This window comes from Homo sapiens, chromosome 2 (assembly GCF_000001405.40).
Source record: "Homo sapiens chromosome 2, GRCh38.p14 Primary Assembly".
Lineage (NCBI taxonomy): Eukaryota > Metazoa > Chordata > Mammalia > Primates > Hominidae > Homo > Homo sapiens.
Window position 1 is genome coordinate 229,954,721 of NC_000002.12, and position 26,369 is coordinate 229,981,089.

General features: G+C 42.8%; 1 protein-coding gene, 1 long non-coding RNA gene and 1 pseudogene across 3 annotated transcripts in view, besides 1 other annotated feature; 2 read left to right on the plus strand and 1 right to left on the minus strand.

The window, feature by feature from the left end:
* The window catches only part of FBXO36 (F-box protein 36), a 90,617-nt gene that overhangs the window by 32,218 nt on the left and 32,030 nt on the right, over nt 1-26,369 (plus strand). For both annotated transcript variants that reach the window (NM_174899.5, XM_005246317.3), the window contains exon 2: nt 21,521-21,629. In NM_174899.5, coding sequence (NP_777559.3) covers nt 21,521-21,629 — 109 coding nt within the window. The remainder of the gene's footprint in view (nt 1-21,520; nt 21,630-26,369) is intronic.
* Nucleotides 1,593-4,279, minus strand: LOC105373924 (uncharacterized). The gene is made up of 3 exons (XR_923981.4): nt 4,239-4,279; nt 3,965-4,068; nt 1,593-1,675 (listed from the first exon to the last, which is right to left on the minus strand). It is a non-coding gene; the product is annotated as an uncharacterized LOC105373924 (long non-coding RNA).
* Nucleotides 10,389-10,603: a silencer, noted in NCBI's record as "fragment chr2:230829825-230830039 (GRCh37/hg19 assembly coordinates)". NCBI's record gives its function as "represses an EF-1alpha promoter that drives an FKBP-Casp9 reporter gene in an ReSE screen in K562 erythroleukemia cells {active_cell/tissue: K562}" and the evidence as "EXISTENCE:reporter gene assay evidence [ECO:0000049][PMID:32094911]".
* On the plus strand, nt 18,595-18,701 carry RNU6-1027P (RNA, U6 small nuclear 1027, pseudogene; annotated as a pseudogene).

A 26,369-nucleotide genomic window follows, 5' to 3' on the forward strand; every position in this document is an offset into this window, starting at 1 on the left:
GTATTTTTAGTGGAGACGGGGTTTCACCGTGTTAGCCAGGATGGACTCAATCTCCTGACCTCGTGATCCGCCTGCCTCGGCCTCCTAAAGTGCTGGGATTACAGGCGTGAGCCACCATGCCTGGCGTTTTTTGTTTGTTTTTTTTTTGAGACAGAGTCTCGTTCTATTGCCCAGGCTGGAGTACAGTGGCACCATCTCGGCTCACTGCAACCTCTGTCTCCCAGGTTCAAGCAATTCTCCTGCCTCAGCCTCCCAAGTAGCTGGGACTACGGACATGCGCCACCACGCCCGGCTAATATTTTTGTATTTTTAGTAGAGACGGGGTTTCACCCTGTTGGTCAGGCTGGTCTTGAACTCCTGACCTCAAGTGATCTGCCTTCCTTGGCCTCCCAAAGTGTTGGGATTACAGGTGTGAGCCACCGCGCCCAGCCCGATCACCCTATTTAAAATTGAACCCTCATCCCCTGCCCAGCACTTTTTATCTTTTCCTTGTTTATTTTTCTTCACAGCATTTTTCAGTAACACACTATGAAATATGTTGGCCAGGCATGGTGGCTTATACCTGTAATCCCAGCACTTTGGGAGACTAAGGTGGGCAGATTGTTTGAGCCTGGGCAATATGGCAAAACCCTATCTCTATAAAAAATTAGCTGGGCATGCTGGCACTTGCCTGTAGTCCCAGCTACTTGGGAGGCTGAGGTGGTAGGATCCCTTGAATCCAGGAGGTCAAGGCTGGCGTGAGCTCTGCTTGTGCCACTGCAGTCCAGCCCGGGCAACAGAGTGAGACCCCGTCTCAGAAAAAAAAAAAAGAGAGAGAAATATGTTTACTTGTTTTATGTATTGTCTACCTCCCTTTTCTCTCCCTCATCAAAGAATGGAATCCCCATGGGAGTCGGGGGTTTTGTCTGTTTTGCCTAAAACAATGCCCTCTGTGTTTGTGGAATGAATGAAATACTATGATTGCTCAAGCACACCATTCGAACTCCTATCAAATTTAAGTACAAAACCCATCTAATTCCAAACATAAATAATTTGTGGATTGGCATCATATGGATTATGAACACCACTCATTCTCTACATTATCATGGCCAATGAAAAGTTAAGGCTTTCTGTCATTCCTATAAGGTCACATGTTTAACAGGTTTAACAGGTTTATAGACTGTAGGACCAAATAGACCTGGATTCAGGTCCCACTGAGCAGTGAATGGTTGAGGGCAAGTTCTTCTAAACTTCCTTGCATCTTGCTTTATTCATCTTTATTCATCCCAGCACCACAATCCTAATTAACCTCTTAGGGTTGTTGTAAAGATTAAATGGGATTCAGTCCAAAGCACTCTGTACATGTCACATGTTAGCCACTCAGTAAAATCTATTCTTACAATTATCATTTTGGGAGCTGTATTAGTTTTCTCAGGCTGCCATAACAAACTGCCATAGACTCGATGACTTAAACAATAGAAATGTATTTTCTCAGAGTTCTGGAAACCGGAAGTCCAAGATTAAGGTGTTGGCAGGTTTGGCTTCTGCCGAGGCCTCTCTCCTTGGCTTTCAGATGGCTGACTTCTTGCTGTGTCCTGCCATGGTCTTTTCTCTGGGCATACACATTGTCGGGGCAAAGGGAACTTTCCCATCACCCTCTGAAGGTTCCGTAATTTGAGTCTATGAAATGAACTGACTGTAAACAGATTAACAATAGAAAAGGGGCATCACAAGAAAGAAAATATCCGCAAAGCAGTGAGATTTAGAAGCTTATATGCTCTCATCACAGGGTAGAGGGAAGGAGGGATGCAGATAGCTTAGGGGAGCATAAATGATTTGAGGGAGAGAAAGAATGGGCCAGAAGAACAGGTGACAACTCGTGACAAAGTCTGTCCGGATATTTGATGTTAACCTTTGGTCTTCTTTCCTGTGGTAAGTCAGTCTCCCTACATGATGGGATTCTTGTGGAGGGGGATGCAGGACAATTGAGTTCTTTCTGAAGGATCTCAAGGCAGATAAGGGAAATTCAGAGAATGCCTCTCACTGCACTTTGGGAGAGAAAAAGGGACAAGAGACAGAAGGCCAGGAAAAGGTCAAAGAGACTAGTTCTCCTTTAGTTCAAAGCACTCAGCGCCAAACCTCATGAGGTGGGGTATTGTTTTCTAAGCCCCAACAACACCCCTGGGGTCTCTTCCCCTTATTCTAAGAACCCCAGTCCTATTGAATTAGGATTATACCCATATGACTTTATTTAATCTTGATATCCTTCTTACAAGTCTTATCTCCAAATACCATCACACTGGGGGTTAGGACTTCAAAGTATGTATTTGGGAGGGACACAGTTCAGTTCCTAACAGGAGTGGAGGAAGATTTCAGAAAACTATATCCAATTTTGTTATGTTTAATAATTTTAGAATATTTAATTCCAAGAAACACAAGTGCTTTAGTGGATATTCTTTTCACTAGCAGATAGGCACTGAAAAGGGCATAGATGCAGGCATCCCGCAGCAGGAAGAAAGGAAGCCACACAGTAAAGAGGGAAATGTTACATATGCAGAGAGACTGAAGGAGGCACAGAAATCAAACTATGAAGTAGGCCGGGCACGGTGGCTCATGCCTGTAATCCCAGCACTTTGGGAGGCCAAGGCGGGCAAATAGCCTGAGGTCGGTAGTTTGAGACTAGCCTGGCCAACATGATGAAACCCCATCTCTACTAAAAATACAAAAATTAGCTTGGCGTGGTGGCGGGCGCCTGTAATCCCAGCTACTCAGGAAGCTGAGGCAGGAGAATTGCTTGAACCCGGGATGCGGAGGTTGCAGTGAGCCGAGATCGCACCATTGCACTTCAGCCTGGGCGATAGAGTGTGACTGTCTCCAAAACGATACAAAACAATGAGGTGACCATTTCTGAGTGATAGGACTCTACCTGAGGATGCATTTGAAGCAAGCAGTAATAGGGAATGAGTCAATAACAAGAAGAAATTAAGAAGCTCTCACTGTTGAGAGAAAGGGACGAGAGAGAGAAAAATTGTGTCTCTGATAGCAAATGTTTGTCTGATCCAAAGTTAACTGTCAGCTTCTCAACCAGCTGGACCTGGCATTTCCCTCATTCCCCGCCAGGAGATTAGACACTAACAGAGTTCCTTCTAGCTGTGCCCTCAAGAAACTTGGGCAAAATTTTTAAAATAAATTTTTTACTACTAGATTACAGTTTTGTACCAGAAGTAGAAGTATAGACACCTTCAAGTTGTAAATAGTAACTTTTTGAAGAAGCAGCTTGTAGGCTTAGAGTCAGGTATATCCCAAGATGAATTTGGTACAGTGGAACCACAGACACTTGGGGGCTTTGTACCTTCTTAGTCACTTTGCCTGCCCATATCTGGGAAGGTTTTGGAAACAGGATTCCAGGTTGTATTATTTTTTCAGAGGTTTGTTCTGGAAGATAACATTGTACTAATGCAAATTAAAAAAAAAATTTTTTTTAAAAACTTCACTTCCATCTGTTTGACCTTTACAATTTTTTTTTGTTCTTATTGTTTACAGAGAGCTCTGACTTTCTTTTTTTTTTTTTTTTTTTTTTTTTTTGAGTCAGAGTCTCACTCACTCTGTCATCCAGGCTGGAGTGCAGTGGCACAATCTCAGCTCACTGCAACCTCCACCTCCTGGGTTCAAGCAATTTTCCTGCGTCAGCCTCCCGAGTAGCTGGGACTACAGGCGCCCGCCACGGCGCCCGGCTAATTTTTGTATTTTTAGTAGAGACGGGGTTTCAACATATTGGCCAGGCTGATCTCGAACTCCTGACCTTGTGATCTGCCCACCTTGGCCTCCCTAAGTGGTGGGATTACAGGCGCGAGCCACCGCACCCTGCCGAGGGCTCTGAATTTCTTTGAAAGTTTTAGCACACTTATCTGCAGACACCTTGAGTGTTTTGGGGTCAGGCCTCTATAAAGTATGTGTTAGAATTGTTGGTGTGGCATTGACTCACCCCGTCCCTCTGCACTTGGGAGTGATGTCTCACGGTGTCCCGCTGCAAGAGTGGATCTGAGCTTCTTCCCATAAAGCTTAGGGAACTATGACTACATTCTCGCCCTGTATGTAAACAAATTCCAGTAATAAGTTAATGGGAGAGGAAACTAAAAATGTTCCTGGTACTGTGCTAGGCATGTTTACATGTATCATTTCATTTCCATCCTCCCAAAACATTGTGACCAAGGCATTATTATCTCTTTGACACTGAAGAAACAGATGATGAAACTCACCCAAGGTCACCCAGTTAGTAAGTCCTTGGGCCGGAATGTCCCTCTAAGTCCAAAACTGCTTGGATGCTCTCAAAGTCTCCTTTGTTCCTTCACACTGTAGAACACAGTGACATTCCATTCACTTAGGTTATCCATCTTGTAGCCTCCTATTGCTTATATGACTTTTTTTTCTGAATCGTAAGTACCCATGTTAGATTTTGCCCTCATTTTCTTTTTTAAAATAATTTTTAATTTTTAATAAAAAGAGGTGGAATCTTGCTATTTTGCCCAGGCTGGTCTTGAACACCTGGCCTCAAGTGATCTTCCCATGTTGGTCTCCCAAAGTGCTGGGATTACAGGTGTGAGCCACTGAGCATGGCCTCCCTCATTTTCTTTTGGAAAGATTTTGACCATTGGTATTTATACTTTACTTACGTATCCTCCTTCCCTTGTGCAAAATCTTGTGCAAGTTTTGCTTTCAGAAAACCTGCCTAATGTGAGATTGTGTCTGAGGTGTAAACATCCAAGTTTTTATGCATGGTGAGGAGAAAATGACAGCAATCATGAATTCTCCAGTTTGCTTTATTGTAATAGAACATTTTTCTATAAAGAATATTGCCAAAGTAGGCTGGGCGCGGTGGCTCATGCCTGGAATCCGAGCACTTTGGGAGGCCGAGGCGGGTGGATCATGAGGTCAGGAGATCGAGACCATCCTGGCTAACATGGTGAAACCCCATCTCTACTAAAAATACAAAAAAATTAGCTGAGCGTGGTGGTGGGCGCCTGTAGTCCCAGCTACTCAGGAGACTGAGGCAGGAGAATGGCGTGAACCCAGGAGGTGGAGCTTGCAGTGAGCCAAGATCGTCCCACTGCACTCCAGCCTAGGCAACAGAGCTAGACTCCATCTCAAAAAAAAAAAGAATACTGCCAAAGTTACATTTCTGGATCTGAAGACCTAGGAGAGGAAGCAAAATGAATAACTACCATCTCTGTTGAAGTGTACAGTTAAAATAACAGCTTCTAATCAGTCAACTCTAAAGTTCTAATTTCAGGGTTTCAGCCTGATAATAAGGATGGTATTGAAAGCATGCATAATGATTCTTAGTGTGGGGGTGCTATCCCTGTTTCCTGTACCCTTTTCTGAAATGAATGTGATATTATAATTATTTATTATTATTAAAATATTATAGTATTACTTTGGCATTTCTCATATCCATCTAGAATTTATTTATTTATTTACTTTTATTTATTTATTTTTGAGATGGGGTCTCGCTCTGTCATCCAGGCTGTAGTGCAATGGTAAGATCATAGCTCACTGCAGTCTCAACCTCCTGGGCTCAAGTGATCCTTCTACCTCGGCCTCCTGAGGAGCTGGGACTACATACAGGCCCACGGCACCACACCTGGGTAATTTTTTATTTTTGTAGAGGTGGGGTGAGCTGTGTTACCCTGGCTGGTATCAAACTCGGAGGCTCAAACCATCCTGCCACCTTGGCTTCCCAAAGTGCTGGGATTACAGGTGTGAGGCACCATGCCGGTCTTTTTTTTTTGGGCGGGGGGGCGGTGGTGTTGGGATAGGGTGTCACTCTGTCGCCCACACAGCAGTGCACTGGTGCCGTCATAGCTCACTGCAGCCTCGAACACCTGAGCTCAAGCAATCCTCTTGACTCAGCCTCATTAGTAGCTGAGACTACAGGCATGTGCCGCCATGCCTGGCTAATTTTTATTTTTACTTTTTAGTTTTTTGTAGAGATGGGGTTGCGCTGCATTGCCCAGGCTGGTCTCAAACTTCTAGCCTCAAGCCACCCCAAAGTGTTGAGCCACAACACCCAGCCTAGAATTTATTTTTGAGTGTCGTTGGAGGTAGCAGTTTAAATGTATTCCTTTTAGGCTGGGCGCAGTGGCTCATGCCTGTAATCCCAGCACTTTGGGAGGCCAAGGCGGGCGGATCACCTGAGGTCAGGAGTTCGAGACCAGCCTGGCCAACATGATGAAACCCCAACTCTACTAAAAATACAAAAATTAGCTGGGTGTGGTGGCGGGCACCATAATCCCAGCTATTCAGGAGGCTGAGACAGGATAATTGCTGGAACCTGGGAGGCAGAGGTTGCAGTGAGCCGAGATCACCGCCATTGCCCTCCAGCCTGGGCCTCAGAGCGAGACTCCATCTCAAAAAAAAAAAATAAATTTATTCCTTTTAGATGGATGGCTTATCATGTTAATACTATTTATTAAGTAAATCATCCTTTCTTCCCAATTTGAAATACTACCTTTTCCATATATACCTGAAGATACTGGTGAACTCTTCCACCAATATATTTGTTTATTATATACAAATACCATGCTAATTTATAATAGCCTTATATTACTTTCTAATATATTGCAAGACACAATTTTTTTTCCCAAGATTTTCTTGGCAATTTTCACACACTATTTTATTTTATTTTTTTCATTTTTGAGACGGCATCTTGCTCTGTCACGAGGCTGGAGTGCAGTGGTGCGATCTCGGCTCACTGCAACCTCCGCCTCCCAGGTTCAAGCGATTCTCCTGCCTCAGCTTCCTGAGTAGCTGGAACTACGGGCGCATGCCACCACGCCCAGCTAATTTTTGTATTTTTAGTAGAGACGGGGTTTCACCATGTCGGCCACGATGGTCTCGATCTCCTGACCTTGTGATCCGCCTGCCTCGGCCTCCCAAAGTGCTGAGGTTACAGGCATGAGCCACTGCGCCCAGCCACATTTATTTTACTACATGAATTTAAAATAATTTTGTCCTCTTTCCCCGAAAAAGGTGAATTTTGATTGGCTTTGCATTAGGTTTACATATTCATTTGGGAAGGGGTAGTTTTTTTAAAAAGGAAATTAAAATTTTAATCTTAGACTATAAAATGCCTCTCAATTTGTTCAGGTATTGGCTTTAGGGCCATCAATAAAATTGAATAGTTTTAAAATTAGGTTTTTGGCCAGGTATGGTGGCTCATGCCTGTAAACCCAGCACTTTGGGAGGCAGAGCTGGGCCAATCACATGAGGCCAGGAGTTTGAGACCAGCCTGGCCAACATGGCGAAACCTCATCTCTACAAAAAACACACAAAAATTAGCTGGGCACAGTGGCATGCGCCTGTAATCCCAGCTACCAGGGAGGCTGATGCATGAGAATCACTTGAACCTGTGAGGCAGAGGTTGCAGTGAGCCGAGATTGTGCCACTGCAGTCCAGCCTGGGTGACAGAGTATCTCAAAAAAAAAAAAAAATTAGGTTTTATACTCCTTATGTTATTTATTTTTAGGTATTTTATTGTTTTGAACTGTTGCAATGTAGGGTATATTTCTTCCCATATTCATTTTCTAACTACTTATAAATAATTAGATAATGAATAAAGTTAATTTCGGTATCTTTTTTTCTTTTTTTTGAAACCAGGATCTTGCTCTGTCATTAAGGCTGGAGTGCAGTGGTGTATTCATAGCTCACTGCAGCCTCAAACTCTTGGACTAACGCAATCCTCCTATTTCTGCCTCCCAAATAGCTGGCACTACAGGCATGCACCACCACACCTAGTTGATTTTTATTTTATTTTATTTTATTTTATTTTATTTTATTTTATTTTATTTTATTGTAGAGATAGAGTTGCACTGTGTTATCCATGCTAGTCTCAAGCTCCTGGCCCCAACTAGTCTTCCTGCCTCAGCCTCCCAAAGTGCTGGGATTACAAGCATGAGCCACTGCACTCAGCAGCCTTGGCATTTATTTATTTATTTATGAGACGGAGTTTCACTCTGTTGTCCAGGCTGGAGTGCAGTGGTGCGATCTCGGCTCACTTCAACCTCCGCCTCCTGGGTTCAAGCGATTCTCCTGCCTCAGACTTCCGAGTAGCTGGGATTATAGGCATGCACCACCACATCTGGCTAATTTTGTATTTTTAGTAGAGACAGGGTTTCACCATGTTAGCCAGGCTGGTCTCAAACTCCTGACCTCAGGTGATCCACCCATCTTGGCCTCCCAAAGTGCTGGGTTTACAGGCCTGAGCCACCACGCCCAGCTTCATCATTCTTTTTTAGGGTAGCACATAACTGAGTACTCCTTTGTGAGGTTATGTCAAAGTTCATTCATTCAGTCCCCTATTGCTTGACCCAGGTTGCTTTTTTTTTGAGATGGAGTCTCACCCTGTCGCCCAGGCTGGAGTGCTGTGGCATGATCTCTGTTTGCTGCAACCTCCGCCTCCCAGGTTCAAGCGATTCTTCTGCCTCAGCCTCCTGAGTAACTGGGATTACAGGCACCTGCCACCACACCCAGCTAATTTTCGTATTTTTAGTAGAGATGGGGTTTCACCATATTGGCCAGGATGGTTTAGATTTCCTGACCTCGTGATCCGCCCACCTCGGCCTCCCAAAGTGCTGGGATTACAGATGTGAGCGACCGTGCCCGGCCCCCCAGGTTGTTTTTTTTAGCTTTTGCCAGTAATACCTCAATGAAGAAACTTATACATGTATCCTTTGCATTTCTTTTTTCTTTTTTTTTTTTTTTTTCGAGGCGGAGTCTCACTCTGTCGCCCAGGCTGGAGTGCAGTGGCGTGATCTCAGCTCACGGCAAGCTCCGCCTCGTGGGTTCACACCATTCTCCTGCCTCAGCCTCCCGAGTAGCTGGGACTACAGGCGCCCGCCACCATGCCCGGCTAATTTTTTGTATTTTTAGTAGAGATGCGGTTTCACCGTGTTAACCAGGATGGTCTCGATCTCCTGACCTTGTGATCTACCCGCCTCGGCCTCCCAAAGTGCTGGAATTACAGGCGTGAGCCACCGCGCCCAGCCTATCCTTTGTGTTTCTTATGTGTGGCACTGTTGTCTGTAGTATGTAATCCTATGAATGGAATTGCTGAGTCACAGGATGAAAGCATCCATAATTTTATTAGATTATGCCAAATTTCCCTCCATACATTTTGTACCACAGTGGTGAGTTCCTGTTTCCCCAGATCCTTACAAATGGAGTGTGTTTTTATTCTTTTGGATTTTGCTAGTCTGGATGGATGAGAAATAATATTTCAGTATGATTTTAATATGCTTTACTATTATGAGTAAAATTGAGCATCTTTTTATATGTCTATGAGACTTGTGAATTTTTTTTTTCCCTGTGAACTATTTGTTGATATTTTTCTCTCTTTATACAAACTCTTTAGGGAGATTGCCTGTTTGTCTGTAATGTTAATTGCAAATGTTTTTCAGTTTATCATTATTTTATTTTTTACTTTGTTTTGATGGTTTTTGTTTTCAAATCACATTTGAGATATGCTTTTAATACAGTAAAAATCACTCTTTTCAGGTGGCATGAATTTAAAAAAATGTATAACCGCCATCATTATCAAGATACAGACTATTTCCATCAACCTGAAATTGTCCTCATACCTCTTTGTGGTCAGTTTCCTCTTCCATCCCTAATTCTTTGGTATCATTGATCTGATTTCTGTTTTTTCTTTGTTAACATGCCGTAAATGGAATGTTATGTATGGAACATAGCATTTTCTGTCTGGCTTCTTTCACTTATCTTAATGCTTTGAGATTCAACTGTTATTGCATGTATCAGTATTTCTTTTTGTTTCTTTGTTTTTGAGACGGAGTCTCGCTCTGTCACCCAGGCTGAAGTGCAGTTGGTGCGATCTCGGCTTACCACAGCCTCCACCTCCCGGGTTCAAGTGATTATCCTGCCTCAGCCTCCTGAGTAGCTGGGACTACAGGCACCTGCCACCACGCCCGATTATTTTTTGTATTTTTAGTAGAGACAGGGTTTCACTGTGTTGGCCAGGCTGGTCTCGAACTCCTGACCTCGTGATCCTTCCGCCTCGGCCTCCCAAAGTACTGGGATTACAGGCGTGAGCCACCGCGCCCGGTGCGTGTATCAGTATTTCTTTTTATTGTTGAGTAACATTTTGTCATATGGATGTACTTACCTGTTTACCAGTTGATGTTTGTTTTGGTTATTTCCAGTTTGGAGCTACGATGAACTAAGCTGCTTTAAACATTTCTACTATAAAGGTCTTTGGAGATTTTTCCATGGAATAAGTTTTTATGTTTATTTAGTAGAGTTTATCAGTCTTTCTTTGATTGTTTCTGGATTTTGAGACACAGTTTGAAATATGTTAAAGGAATTCACCATTTTTTTCCATCTAGGACTTATATGGTCTGATTTTTTAATACGCAGACCCTTTCTTTCTTCCTTCCTTTTTTTTTTTTTTTTTGTAGAGATGAGGGTCTTACTATGTTGCCCAGGCTCGTCTCAAACACCTGGGCCCAAGTTCCCACTTCAGCCTCCCAAAGTGTTGGGGTTACAGGCTGAGCCACTGCACCTCGCCTATATGCTGATCTTTGATCTACTTGCACTTTTTCCTGGCGTGAGGCATGAATGAATTTTCTTTTTTTTTCTTTTTTATTTATTTATTTTTTATATATTTATATTCTTTTATTATACTTTAAGTTCTAGGGTACATGTGTACAACATGCAGGTTTGTTACATATGTATACATGTGCCATGTTGGTGTGCTGCACCCATTAACTCATCATTTACATTAGGTATATCTCCTAATGCTATCCCTCCCCCCTCCCCCAACCCCACAACAGGCCCCAGTGTGTGATGTTCCCCTTCCTGTGTCCAGGTGTTCACATTGTTCAGTTCCCACCTATGAGTGAGAACATGCGGTGTTTGGTTTTTTTGTCCTTGCAATAGTTTGCTGAGAATGATGGTTTCCAGCTTCATCCATGTCCCTACAAAGGACATGGACTCATCATTTTTATGGCTGCATAGTATTCTACGGTGTATATGTGCCACATTTTCTTAATCCACTCTATCATTGTTGGACATTTGGGTTGGTTCCAAGTCTTTGCTATTGTGAATAGTGCCACAATAAACATACGTGTGCATGTGTCTTTCTTTATAGCAGCATGACTTACAATCCTTTGGGTATATACCCAGTAATGGGATGGCTGGGTCAAATGGTATTTCTAGTTCTAGATCCCTGAGGAATCGCCATACTGTCTTCCACAATGGTTGAACTAGTTTACAGTCCCACCAACAGTGTAAAAGTGTTTCTATTTCTCCACATTGTCTCCAGCACCTGTTGTTTCCTGACTTTTTAATGATCGCCATTCTAACTGGTATGAGATGGTATCTCATTGTGGTTTTGATTTGTATTTCTCTGATGGCCAGTGATGATGAGCATTTTTTCCTGTGTCTGTTGACTGCATAAATGCCTTCTTTTGAGAAGTGTCTGTTCATATCCTTCGCCCACTTGTTAATGGGGTTGTTTGTTTTTTTCTTGTAAATTTGTTTGAATTCTTTGTAGATTCTGGATATTAGCCCTTTGTCAGATGAGTAGATTGCAAAAATTTTCTCCCGTTCTGTAGGTTGCCTGTTCACTCTGATGGTAGTTTCTTTTGCTGTGCAGAAGCTCTTTAGTTTAATTAGATCCCATTTGTCAATTTTGGCTTTTGTTGCCATTGCTTTTCGTGTTTTAGAAATGAAGTCCTTGCCCATGCCTATGTCCTGAAATGGTATTGCCTAGGTTTTCTTCTAGGGTTTTTATGGTTTTAGGTCTAACATTTAAGTCTTTAATCCATCTTGAATTTATTTTTGTATAAGGTGTAAGGAAGGGATCCAGTTTCAGCTTTCTACATATGGCTAGCCAGTTTTCCCAGCACCATTTGTTAAATAGGGAATCCTTTCCCCATTTCTTGTTTTTGTCAGGTTTGTCAAAGACCAGATGGTTGTAGATCTGTGGTATTATTTCTGAGGGCTTTGTTCTGTTCCATTGGTCTATATCTCTGTTTTGGTACCAGTACCATGCTGTTTTGGTTACTGTAGCCTTGTAGTATAGTTTGAAGTCAGGTAGCGTGATGCCTCCAGCTTTGTTCTTTTGGCTTAGGAATGACTTGGCAATGTGAGCTCTTTTTTGGTTCCATATGAACTTTAAAGTAGTTTTTTCCAATTCTGTGAAGAAAGTCATTGGTAGCTTGATGGGGATGGCATTGAATCTATAAATTACCTTGGGCAGTATGGCCATTTTCACGATATTCTTCCTACCCATGAGCATGGAATGTTCTTCCATTTGTTGGTATCCTCTTTTATTTCATTGAGCAGTGGTTTGTAGTTCTCCTTGAAGAGGTCCTTCACATCCCTTGTAAGTTGGATTCCTAGGTATTTTATTCTCTTTGAAGCAATTGTGAATGGGCGTTCACCCATGGTTTGGCTCTCTGTTTGTCTGTTATTAGTGTATAAGAATGCTTGTGATTTTTGCACATTGATTTTGTATCCTGAGACTTTGCTGAAGTTGCTTATCAGCTTAAGGAGATTTTGGGCTGAGACAATGGGGTTTTCTAGATATACAATCATGTCGTCTGCAAACAGGGACAATTTGACTTCCTCTTTCCCTAATTGAATACACTTTATTTCTTTCCCCTGCCTGATTGCCCTGGCCAGAACTTCCAACACCATGTTGAATAGGAGTGGTGAGAGAGGGCATCCCTGTCTTGTGCCAGTTTCCAAAGGGAATGCTTCCAGTTTTTGCCCATTCAGTATGATATTGGCTGTGGGTTTGTCATAAATAGCTGTTATTATTTTGAGATATGTCCCATCAATACCTAATTTATTGAGAGTTTTTAGCATGAAGGGCTGTTGAATTTCATCAGAGGCCTTTTCTGCATCTATTGAGATAAACATGTGGTTTTTGTCTTTGGTTCTGTTTATGTGCTGGATTATATTTATTGATTTGCATGTGTTAAATCAGCCTTGCATCCCAGGGATGAAGCCCACTTGATCATGGTGATAAGCTTTTTGATGTGCTGCTAGATTCGGTTTGCCAGTATTTTATTGAGGACTTTTGCATTGATGTTCATCAGGGATATTTGTCTAAAATTCTCTTTTTTTGTTGTGTCTCTGCCCGGCTTTGGTATCAGGATGATGCTGGCCTCGTAAAATGAGTTAGGGAGGATTCCCTCTTTTTCTATTGATTGTAATAGTTTCAGAAGGAATGGTACCAGCTCCTCCTTGTACCTCTGGTAGAATTCGGCTGTGAATCCGTCTGGTCCTGGACTTTTTTTGGTTGGTAAGCTATTAAGTATTGCCTCAATTTCAGAGCCTGTTATTGGTCTATTCGGAGATTCAACTTCTTTTTTCAAATGGCCACCCACTGGTTCCTAAATCATTTATTCCTAAATCAATATTTTTAATCTGATTTGAGAAGTTCTATTTTATAATTATTTATATTTAATTAGTATTAAATATTATAATATTCAATTAAAGTTATGAATTAAAAATGTATTTTCCCTTAAACTTTCAACACACAACTTACAAACCTAGTAAATTCAATTATAAATCAAATAATTTTGTGTTAAAACTTAAAACTCTTATTTTCATTGTACTTTGATTGTTTAATTATACATTTGACAAATTAAAATCTCAAACATTTATGCACTGTTCACAAACTTAAACTGTCTTAAACATATAAAGACACAAAACTTATATATCTAGCAAATTTAATTCTCTGAAATTTTTGTTTTGTTTTGTTGAGACAGGGTCTTGCTTTGTCACCCAGGCTAGAATGCTGTTGCAGGAATACCACTCACTGCTGCCTTGACCTTCGGGCTTCAAGCAGTCCCCTTGTCTCAGCCCCACTACAAGCTGGGACTACAGGCGTGTGCTACCATGCCTGGCTAATTTTTGTATTTTTTGTGGAGATGGTATTTCGCCATGTTGCCCAGGGTGGTCTCAAACTCCTGATCTCAAGCAGTCTACCCACCACAGCCTCCCAAAGTGCTGGGATTACAAGCATGAGCCACCATGCCCGGCCAAATTATTATTATTATTATTTTTTGAAATGGAGTCTTGTTCTGTTGCCCAGGCTGGAGTGCAGTGGTGCAATCTCCACTGAGTGCAACCACTGACTCCCAGGTTCAAGTGATTCTTATGCCTCAGCCTCCCGAGTAGCTGAGATTACAGGCGTGCACCACCACATCTGGCTAATTTTTGTGTTTTTAGTAGAGACGGGGTTTCACCATGTTGGCCAGGCTGGTCTCAAACTCCAGACCTCAAGTGGGATCCAGCCACCTTGGCCTCTTAAAGGCATGAGCCACCACACCAGGCTCAAATTATCTTAAATTTATATACCCCTTATAAACTTGAGTAAATTCTGTTAAGCATTTCAGTCTATAATCATGAATTGAATATATTTAATTTTCTCAAGCATTACCAAAATCTAAAGACGCATAATTAGAATTCTACCAAGATCAAACAAAGTTGTTTTTTTTTTCTTTTTTGAGACAGGGTCACCCTCTGTTGCCCAGGCTGGAGTGCAGTGGCACAATCAACAGCTCACTGTAACCTTGACTTCCCAGGCTCAAGCAAGCCTCCCACCTCAGCCTCCCTAGTAGCTGGGACTACAGCTGGAGGCCACCACACTCACAAATTAAAAAAAAAAAAAAAAAATTCAGGCCAGGCACGGTGGCTCACGCCTGTAATCCCAGCACTCTGGGAGGCTGAGGCGGGTGGATCACGAGGCCAGGAGATTGAGACCATCCTGGCTAACGCGGTGAAACCCTGTCTCTACTAAAAATACAAAAAATTAGCCGGGCGTGGTGGCACATGCCTGTAGTCCCAGCTACTCAGTAGGCTGAGACAGGAGAATCACTTGAACCCAGGAGGCGGAGGTTGCAGTGAGCCAAGATCACGCCACCACACTCCAGTCTGGGTGACAGAGACTCTGTCTCAGAAAAATAAAAAATAAAAATAAAATAAAATTGATAAATTGGACTTTGTCAAAATTAAAAACTTTTGCTCTGTGAAGACCCTGCTAAGAGATGGAACAGAATAGCAGAAAATATTTGTAAACCACATATCTGACAGAGGATTAGTATTTACAATATATAAACAAACAATCTTGTTAGAAAATGGACAAAAGACATTAAGAGGTATTTCACCGAAGAGGATATATGAATGGCAGATAAATGCATGAAAAGATATTGAACAATTAAAATCACAGTGAGACAGCACTACTCACCTATCAGAATGGCTAAAATAAAATAGTGACACTACCAAATGCTGGTGAGGACCCAGAGAAGCTGGATCATTCATATACTGCTGATAGGAATGTAAAGTGCCCATTACCATTTTAAGTGCCAACATTTTGACAGTGGCAAAAAAAACTAAATATTCAGCTACCATATGGCCCAGCAATTGCACTCCTGGGCATTTATCCCAGAGAAATGCAGACTTATATTCATACGAAAACCTACACACAAATGTTTATAAAAACTTTATTTGGGGCCGGGTGCAGTGGCTCACACCTGTAATATCAACACTTTGGAAGGCTGAGGTGGGAGGACTGTTTGAGCCCAGGAGCTCGAGACCAGCCTGGGCAACATAGTGAGATGCTATCTCTATTTAAAGAAAAAAATGTATATATCTGTAATAGGCAGAAACTGGAAACAACTCAGAAACCTGAGCATCAAGGTAGCAGTTTGGAAGAAAATCCAGAAGCTAGAGAAGAGTGCACTTTTAACCTAGGCTGTAAATAGTTATGGGAGGGCATAGTGTGAGCCTGACATGTTTACAGCATCCTCAGAGTTGAAATCAAAAGGAAGCCATCTCTATGTAATTGCAGCACCAGCTTAAGAGCCCAGCACCTCATTACTGTTATCACCAATGTTCTTGATGTCACAGAGGACAATATTCCGTGTGAAACACTGCAGACATTCATTTAGGATGTGATTCAGAACACTCAGATCCTGAAGATAGATAACTTTTAGGAGAACTTTCGTCTGTGTATTCCACTTATATTTTCCTTTTTTAGATATATTCACGGGTAACATAGATTTGTCATATTAAAATTAATATAATGTTACTATAACTTATAAAATGAGTTAATTAGTATAATTACTAACAATAATGTTCTAAAATACATGCCTAATGACGAATTAAAGAGCTCTTTCAGTAACTCTGAAATAAGTGATGAAAACCATTGTCTTAATTTCCTGGCTCCCCTCATAGTCCAAAATGGCTGTAGCAATTCCAGCAATTGCATCAACACACAAAAATTGTCAGTTCCTCAAAAGGAGCTGTGTTTTCTTGTGTCTCTTTTTACAAGTGATAAAATCATGGCCAGGTGAGGCGGCTCACGCCTCTAATCTCAGCACTTTGGTAGGCCGAGGCGGGCAGATCACCTGAGGTCAGGAGTTTGAGACCAGCCTGGCCAACATGGTAAAACCCCGTCTCTACTAAAAATATAAAAAATTAGCCAGGCATGGTGGTGAGCGCCTGTGATCCCAGCTACTCAGGAGGCTGAGGCAAGAGAATTGCTTGAACCCAGGAGGTAGAGGTTTTGGTGAGCAGAGATCACGCCACTGAACTCCAGCCTGAGTGACAGAGCAAGACTCCATCTCAAAAGAAAAAAAAAAAAAAAGAACAAACAAAAAACAAGTGATAAAATCTTTCTCAGAGTCCCAGCAGACCTCTGGTATCTCATTGGCTAAAACTTTATCACATGCCTATGCCCATACCAATTGCTGGCAGGGGGAAAAAAAAATCTACCCAGAAATGACTTAAACCGATCAGGCTTGCCTCCTAGAGCTACTGATGAGGCCTATACTCTGAGCACAAGCTATGTGAGAGGATACTGGAGAAATGGAAGGGCAGGTGGGCAATTGAATTCTCTGTGGCAAACAGCATCTGCCACAGATTCCCAATCACATCCACTCTGTTTGAAGATAATTAATTTAACTTTTTTTTTTTCTTGAGATAAGGTCTCATTTTTTCACCCATGCTAGAGTGCAGTGGTACAATCATGGCTCACCACGGCCTCAACCTCCTGGGCTCAAGTGATCCTCCCACCTCAGCACAGACACGCACCACCAACCCCAACTAATTTTTTTTGTTTTTAATTTTTTGTAGAGACAGGGCCTCACTGTGTTGACTAGGCTTGTTTTGAACTCCTGGGCCCAAGTGATCCTCCTGCCTTGGCCTCCCAAAGTGCTGGGATTGCAGACATGAGCCACTGCACCTGGCCCAAGTATCCAATTCTTTTTTTTTTTTTTTTTTTTTGAGATGAAGTCTTGCTCTTGTCCCCGGCTGGAGTGCAATGACACGATCTTGGCTCACTGCAACCTCCGCCTCCTGGGTTCAAGTGATTCTCCTGCCTCAGCCTCCCAAGTAGCTGGGATTACAGGCTCCTGCCACCATGCCCAGCTAATTTTTGTATTTTTAGTAGAGACTGGGTTTCACCATGTTGGACAGGCCTGTCTCAGTTGAACTCCTGACCTCAGGTGATCTGCCCGCCTTGGCCTCCCAAAGTGCTGGGATTACAGGCATGAGCCACCGTGCCCGGCCTACCAAGTATGCAATTTTTAACAATTACTAGTAATTAGGAAAATCAAATACCAGGTCCGACTGAAAGCTGAAATAATTATCTTTGAAGATTATGATTAGGAAAATAGATCTCGATGAAGTATAGCTATGATTGAATACTATTAGACAGCTGATGAAAAAAATATGGTTCTGACCTCCTGGCTTTTGGGGCTGAATTTATCACTATAAATATGAAGGACTGACCAGTAAGTGACCAGCAAGTGAACAGAGGGAGAGAGGAGGAGGGAAGACCTGCCCCTATGGAGCATACTCTGTGTCTGGCATCGGGCAGGGCACTTTGGATATTCTCTCATGTCATCCCACCGACATTCAGTGGGATGAGTATCATCCCACTGCCTCAGCCTCCCAAAGTGGTTGCAGGTGTGAGCCACCACGCCCAGCTCAATTCTGATTTTTTTACTGTCATAATTCAGCTATGACAACCATCCTCATTAAAAAATATTGTGGCCAGGGGTGGTGGCTCGCGCCTGTAATTCCAGCACTTTGGGAGGCTGAGGCGGGAGGATCACGAGGTCAGCAGTTCGAGACCAGCCTGGCCAACATGGTGAAACCCTGTCTCTACTAAAAATACAAAAATTAGCCAGGCGTGGTGGCGTGCGCCTGTAATCCCAGCTACTCGAGAGGTTGAGGTAGTAGAACAGCTTGAACCTGGGAGGCAGAGGTTGCAGTGAGCCGAGATCCTGCCACTGCACTCCAGCCTGGGACAGAGCAAGACTCTGTCTCAAAAAAAAAAAAAGAAAAAGATATTGTGTACCTTGTCAATAAATTCGTTAAAAATTCTTCCAAGTTGGATGTCTTGGTCAAAGGGTATGGATACCTGAAAGGCTTATGATAGCTATTGCCAAACCAGTTGACACTCCTCTCAACGATTTTTTTAAAGGGCTTCCATTTTTCCCTGTCCTCACCAATACAGGGTTTTATCACTTAAAAAAATCACCAATTTGAGAAAAAATAAGTGTTAGAAAATATCTTATTATTGTGTTCGCTTTGGCAGCACATATACTAAAACTAGAACTATACAGGGAAGATTAGAATGGCCCCCGCGCAAGGATGACATGGAAATTCATGGAGTGTTCCATATTTTTAAAAAATGTCTAAAATTTTAGGGCAGGTGCGGTGGCTACACCTGCAATATCACCACTTTGGGAGGCCGAAGCAGGCGGATCATGAGGTCAGGAGTTTGAGACCAACCTTGCCAACATGGTGAAACCCCGTCTCCACTAAAAATACAAAAATTAGCCAGGTGCCGTGGTGGGCGCCTGTAATCCCAGCTACTCAGGAGGCTAAGGCAGGAGAATTGCTTGAACCCGGGAGGCGGAGGGTGCAGTGAGCTGAGATCGCACCACTGCACTCCAGCCTAGGGACAGAGCAAGACTCCATCTCAAAAAAAAAAAAAAAAGTTCTTTAAAATTTTAAATTTGTCTATTCGGCTGGGCACAGTGGCTCATGACTATAATCCCAGCACATTGGGAGGCTGAGGTGGGCAGATCACTTGAGCCCAGGAGTTTGAGACCAGCCTGGGCAACTTGGTGAAACCCCATCACTACCAAAAAAATACAAAAATTAGCCTTGTGGTGGTGGCACGCGCCTGTGGTCCCAGCTACTCAGGAGGCTGAGATGAGAGAATCACTTGAGTCCAGGAAGTCGAGGCTGCAGTGAGCTGGGGTCGTACCACTGCACTCCAGCCTGGGTGACAGAACAAGACCCCGTTTCAAAAACAAAAAGGAAGAAGAAAATAGCTATTAATTCTGTTTTAATAAGTACAATACATGGAACATAATTGAATCTTGCAGTTAAGTTGTGATTATGAACATTAGTTTTCTGTGTACTGCTCTGTAGAGTGGTCTAATGGGTTGTAGTGTGAAGGTTATACATAAAAAAAAGCATCAGGCCTCCAAAGGAACTCTGTGTTTATGAGTTAGCAGTGAGGAGACTTGGATTCTGGTCCTAGCTAGCTGTGTTTCCTTAAGCAAGTGTTATATTCTCAGTAATTTACTTTAAATACCTCGGAAGGGCCAGTGGGAAGCTTATCTGTGTGTGTGACTTAACTTGAATGTGTGCCATGGAGAGCGTCCCTCCAGTGGCCATTGTGGCAAGCACTGCAGATGTTGCCTTCTAAATCAGTACCAGAGGGTTCATTAGTTAGTATAAGGAATGTCGAAATAATTTTTCCTTGATGAAATGAATGGTATGCAAGATATGAGGCCAACAGATTGTACAGGCATCTCTCTGCCTTTTTATGAACAAGTTAAGAGGCAAGCCCAGCAATGTAACATTTCTGGAGCGGTGCCCTGGGCTCGATCTCCATTTTTTCCGGAATCCCCCACTCAACCAAGGATTTTGTTGCTTGATCTGGCTGGAAGGATCACTGACTGTCATTATAACATAGAGGCCTTGCCCATTAATATTAAATAATGTTTAATGGAAAGGAAACTTGCAGTGCAGAGAGATTGCCCAGGCCTGTGTTGCTGTAAAATGCATGCCATTTCTACTGCAGTGCTTGATACCCCTCTGTTGTTAATTGAATTATGTCCCTGCCAAATTCTAATGTTGAAGCTGTAGCCCCCAGTGTGACTGTATTTCCCATCTTTCTCCTCCTAGCCTTCATCGAAATGCAGACATAATTTGGTCTGTTTCTCAAATCGGTGGAAGTTTTGTCATCTTAATTACCTACCCAGCTCCATTACAGGTTTAAAAACATAATATAAGATATGTTTCAAGGGGCTTCTCATCAGGCCCATTAATTGACACTGCCATGAAATCAACACAGCCTTTAAGTGCAGTCCATAACCATGGAAATGAAGTTTGCTTCAGATAAACCAAAATTCTCAGAGAAGACAAATGTGCCATCAGCAGATCCATTACCAAGAAGTGTCCTGTGTAATGACACTTTTTCATGCATCAAACTAAGCATAATGATGCTTTCCCTATCTCTGTCCATGTAACTGTTGCTCTCTGTGGGAAAATTATCCACTCATCTTGTCTGTACCTGTAGACAGTGAAGGAAGGAGGAGAGCTGAGCAATTTCTTTGGAATTAGCTCCCCAAATTATGGAATGTTTATTCTCAGACATCTTCCGGAAACAGATAACCATTTGGCTCCGGGTGATTTTAACATCAATTGACCTGATGGATTTTTTTTTTTTTTTTTGAGACAGGGTCTCACTCTGTCACCCAGGCTGGAGTACAGTGGTGCGATCTCAGCTCACTGCAGCCGCAGCCTCAACCTCACGGGCTCAGGGGATCCTCCCACCTCAGCCTCACAAGTAGTGGGGACTACAGAGCACACCACAATGCCCAGCTCATTTAAAAAAATTTTTTGTAGAGACAGGGTCTCACTATGTTGCCCAAGCTGATCTAGAACTCCCAGGCTCAAGCAATCCTCCCACCTCAACCTCCCAAAGTGTTGGGATTACAGATGTGAGCCACTATGCCCAGCCTTTGACCTGATCTATTTTATTTTATTTTTTTTGGTGGGGGGGCGGGCGGGGGATGGAGTTTCACTCTTGTTACCCAGGCTGGAGTGCAGTGGCGCGATCTCGGCTCACTGCAACCTCCGTCTCTAGTGTTGAAGCAATTCTCCTGCCTCAGCCTCCCAAGTAGCTCAAGTGATCCACCCACCTCGGCCTCCCAAAGTGCTGGGATTACAAGTGTGAGCCACTGCACCCGGCCGACCTGATCGATTTTAAAAGTTCCTTCTAGCACTATGGTTTTGTGATTTTAATCTCTAAGGAAAATGTTCTTTGATGCCCAGAGGTTAATTCTAATTTGATGTGATGCCAGACTGCAAAGTTATAGCTAATGTTGGACACATAGCCTTATGCAAATTTTCAAAACCCCAAACTTAATGTAACTGTTAGTATTGAAATCAATTTTAATTCATATCACTTTGTATTTAATTATAGGTAATCTTTAGATGGTGGAAGATCTCTCTAAGGAGTGAGTATCGATCAACAAAACCTGGAGAAGCAAAAGAAACCCATGAAGACTTCCTAGAGAATTCACATCTTCAAGGTAAGGAACGGAACATATTATATACCCCTGTTAAGTTCTCATTAGTTAGTGGTAGATTTTGTTAAAGAAGTTTCAAATATATTTTCACTTGAAATATTGATATGCAGTTATGTACTTACATATACAATGTTAGATTCTTAAAAACTAGAAAACTGTTGTTTTTTTCTCTTGGAAAACATATTAGCATTTGGCCGGGCGCGGTCGCTCATGCCTGTAATCCCAACACTTTGGGAGGCCGAGGCGGGTGGATCATGATGTCAGGAGTTCGAGACCAGCCTGGCCAAGATGGTGAAACCCTGTCTCTACTAAAAATACAAAAATTAGCCGGGCATGTTGGCACATGCCTGTTATCCTAGCTACTCAGGAGGCTGAGGCAGGAGAATCACTTGAACCCAGGAGGCAGAGGTTGCAGTGAGCTGAGATCAGACCATTGCACTCCAGCCTGGGCAACAAGAACAAAATTCTGTCTTAAAAAAAAAAAAGATCCTAGGTTAACATGTGGACTCCATTAATGAAGTTAAAATCAAGTAAATATAGTTTTATGCTATAATATTTATGAATTGGGCAGTGGCAAACAACCAAGTGGTTTGGGCTTTACTGGCAAGGGCTTGAGGGAAAACTTTTATACGGTGTTTTCTGAAGGAAGACAAAATATTTGATTGGTTACAGTGGAAATTCCCTGGTTAGAGGTTAGTTGGCAGTTTCTGACTGGTAAAGTCTCTGGTTAGAGGTTAGTTGGCGGTTTCTGACTGGGTAAAGAGAAATTTCCTTTTCCTATGCTACAACCATCTATATTTAAAAAACATTTTTTTTATTAAAAAAAAATTTTGTAGAGCCAGGGTCTCACTATGTTGCTCAGGCTGTTCTTGAACTCCTGGCCTCAAGTGATCCTCCTGCTTCAGCCTCCCAAAGTGCTGGATTACAGGCATGAGCCACTGCACCTGGCCCAACCATCTGTTCTGAGTTGGGTTTCAGTTTGCTTGCATAAGAACTCAGGACACTGGAGACGTCTAAGCCCAATTGCTTCCCAATTAATTATTTTAACACTTCTCAATATGAAAAATTCAAACATAAAAAGCAGACAGAATGGTTTTGTTTTTTGTTTTTTGTTTTTTTTTGAGATGGAGTTTTGCTCTTGTTGCCCATGCTGGAATGCAGTGGCATGATTTCAGCTCACTGCAACCTCTACCTCCCAGGTTCAAGTAATTCTTGTGCCTCAGCCTCCCGAGTAGCTGGGATTACGGGTGTACACCACCACGCCAGGCTAATTTTGTATTTTTAGTAGAGATGAGGTTTCACCATGTTGGCCAGGCTGGTCTCGAACTCCTGACCTCAGGTGATCCACCTGCCTCAGCCTCCCAGAGTGCTGGAATTACAGGCGTGAGCCACTGCACCCGGCCAGAATGGTTTTTAACTAACTCCCATGTACTCATGACCCATCTTCAGCAATACTCAAAATGTGACCCAGACCTATAGATGAAACCCACTGTTCCCACTGGATTATTGTGAAGCAAATCCCAATTGTTAATGTCGTTTAATCTTAATCTACTTTAGAATGTGTCTCTCAAGGGACTTTCTTCGACTAAACTCTTTAATAATTACTCCTTAAAAATAAAAATTTGCCAGGTGCAGTGGTTCATACCTGTAATCCTTGCACTTTGGGAGGCCAATGTGGAAGGATTAGTTGGGCCCAGGAGTTCAAGACCAGCCTTGGCAACAGAGTGAGACCTGGTCTCCACAAAAACAAAACAAAACAAAACAAAAACCAAAAAAAAAATTTTTTTTTAAATTAGCTAGGTGTGGTGACACGTGCCTGTAGTCCCAGCTAATCAGGAGGCTGAGGTGGGAGGATTGCTTGAGCCCAGGTGGTTGAGGCTCCAGTGAACCCTGATCATGCCACTGCACTCCAGCCTGGGCAACAGAGCAAGAATGTCTCAAAAATAATAATAATAGCTGGGCACGGTGGCTCACGCCTGTAATCCCAGCACTTCGGAAGGCCAAGGTGGGCAGATCACCTGAGGTTAGGAGTTCAAGACCAGCCTGGCCAAGACAGTGAAACCCCATCTCTACTAAAAATACAAAAAATTAGCTGGGCATGATGGTGGTGGGTGCCCGTAATCCTAGCCACTCAGGAGGCTGAGGCAGGATAATTGCTTGAACCCAGGAGGTGGAGGTTGCGGTGAGCCGAGATCACGCCGTTGCACTCCAGCCTGGGCAACAAGAGTGAAATTCCATCTCAAAAAATAATAATAATAATAATAGTAATATTTTAAAGCTAGAAGACACCTTAGAGATTCTTATTATAGTTAACAATGTTATTTCTATTAATATCAAGTACTTTCACTCTCATTTTATTGTTATAACATCCTTGTGAAATAAATATTATTGCCATGAAATTCAGAAAGGAGGATCTTACAGCTAAATACTGACATTGCCAGGACTAAGCATTGAAACTCAAAAAAATCAAGCACGATAATCTCATTTAGAAGGCAAACTCTGAGTGGATCTTTGATAATCAACACTCTTTAAAAAATTCCATTATTTAGGCCGAGCACAGTGGCTCATGCCTGTAATGCCAGCACTTTGGGAGGCCCAGGTGGGTGGATCACCTGAGGTCAGGAGTTTGAGACCAGCCTGGCCAACATGGTGAAACCCCGTCTCTACTAAAAATATAAAAATTAGCCGGGCGTGGGGGCAGGCGCCTGTAATCCCTGCTGCTCGGGAGGCTGAGGATCACTTGAACCTGGGAGGTGGAGGTTGAAGTGAGCAGAGATCGTGCCACTGCATTCCAGCCTGGGCAACAGAGTGATACTCTGTCTCAAAAAAAAAAAAAAAATCCATTATTTAACAATAATAGTATGCAATAGGCCAGGTGTGGTGGTTCACACTTGTCATTCTAGCACTTTGGGAGGCTGAAGTGGGAGGATTTCTTGAGCCCAGGAGTTTAAGACTAGCCTGGGCAACATGGCAAGACTCCATATAAATATATATAGTGTGTGTGTATATATATATATATGTATGTGATAGTTTTGTTTTATGTATGTGTGTGTATATATATATATAAATGTGATAGTTTGTTGTTGTTTTTTGTTTTGTTTAGAGAGGGAAGGTTTTGTTTTGTTTTGCTTTCTTAAATAGTTAAAAGTTGGGCTGGGTGCAGTGGCTCATACCTATAATCCCAGCACTTTGGGAGGCAGACGCAGGTGGATCACCTGAGGTCAGGTGTTTGAGACCAGCTTGGCCAACATGGTGAAACCCTGTCTCTACTAAAAGTACAAAAATTAGCCGGGTGTGGTTGTGCAAGCCTGTAATCCCAGCTACTTGGGAAGCTGAGGCAGGAGAATCACTTGAACCCGGGAGGCGGAGTTAAAAAAAAAAAAAGTCTGCTGGATTGAGTGGTTCACTGTCTTACTATCTGTATGCAATATCATTAACTCCTTTATGGCAAATATTTATAAAATTCATTGTTGGCTTAAGAACAACCATGTCAAATAATGAAAAAGAGAAGAAAATGTGACTGAGATTAGAAGAAAAAAAAAAGAACAATCATATTGGCAGAAGACTATTTACTTTTGATTGAATTTCAGTCAGCCCAGGCATGCCTAACTTTAACTGTGGACCAGACATGTTTCTATGCAGCTCACTATAAAGTAAACTTCCATAAAACACATTTCATTTTCAAGTTAACATTCGTTTTTTTTGTTTTTTGTTTTTTTGAGACAGAGTCTTGCTCTGTCGCCTAGGGTGGACGGCAGTGGCACGATCTCAGCTCACTGCAACCTCCACCTCCCAAGTTTAAGCAGTTCTCATGCCACAGAGCCCCCGCCCCTGCCCCTGAATAGCTGGGACTACAGGCACACACCACCACACCTGGCTAATTTTTGTATTTTTAGTAGAGATGAGGTTTCATCATGTTGGCCAGGCTGGTCTCGAACTCCTGGCCTCAAGTGATCTGGCTGCCTCGGCCTCCCAAAGTGCCGGGGATTATAGATGTGAGCCACGGCGCCCTGCCTCCATTTTATTTTCTAACCACTGTAGGACCTTCCCCAGAGCTATGTGTCTAGTTAATGCTGCATTGTTCCTTGAGACCATGTGGTTTTCTGATTGTCTTCCACAAAAACCTGGAGATGGGGATTTGGGCCAGAGATGGGAGTCAAAAGCCTCCCACTGCCTTCTGATTGCTGGCTTACTTGCAGACCTCACCAGTCTCTTGCCTGCTCCAGGCACCTTCCAAGCCCTGCCCTTGATAAGAGATTGGGGGGAGGGGTCAAGCTCCTGATAAGATACTGGGGGAGGGGATTCACTTCAGGATAACTACTTGAGGGGTTCTGATACTGGAAGAGAAAAGGCAATATAGCGAAGATTTTATGAGTCTGACAGCAGGCCTGCCTCCCTGCTGGCTGTGTTCCTGCTGGACAGCAGGAGAGTTGAGGGATTCAGCCAAGGCATGTACTAACCAGGCTTTTTAAATGGTAGTTTACAGAGCTGCAGTCTCGGGGCTGCCAGGTGGTTTCCCGCCAGCAGCAGCACTGTGATACCAAATTAAATCAGCCCGGCAAGTTCAAAGGCTCCTGTGTCTCTAAGGGGAAAACTCCAAACCATGGTGTTGGTAGTCTCTGTACACCCCCTTCTTAGAGAATCCTTCAGGAAGTCCTCTGTCTTCAGAGGAAGGAGGAGGGTTCATGGTAGCACAGACTGGGACTCAGTAAGCTGGCGTTGAAATCTCTGTCCTGCCACCAG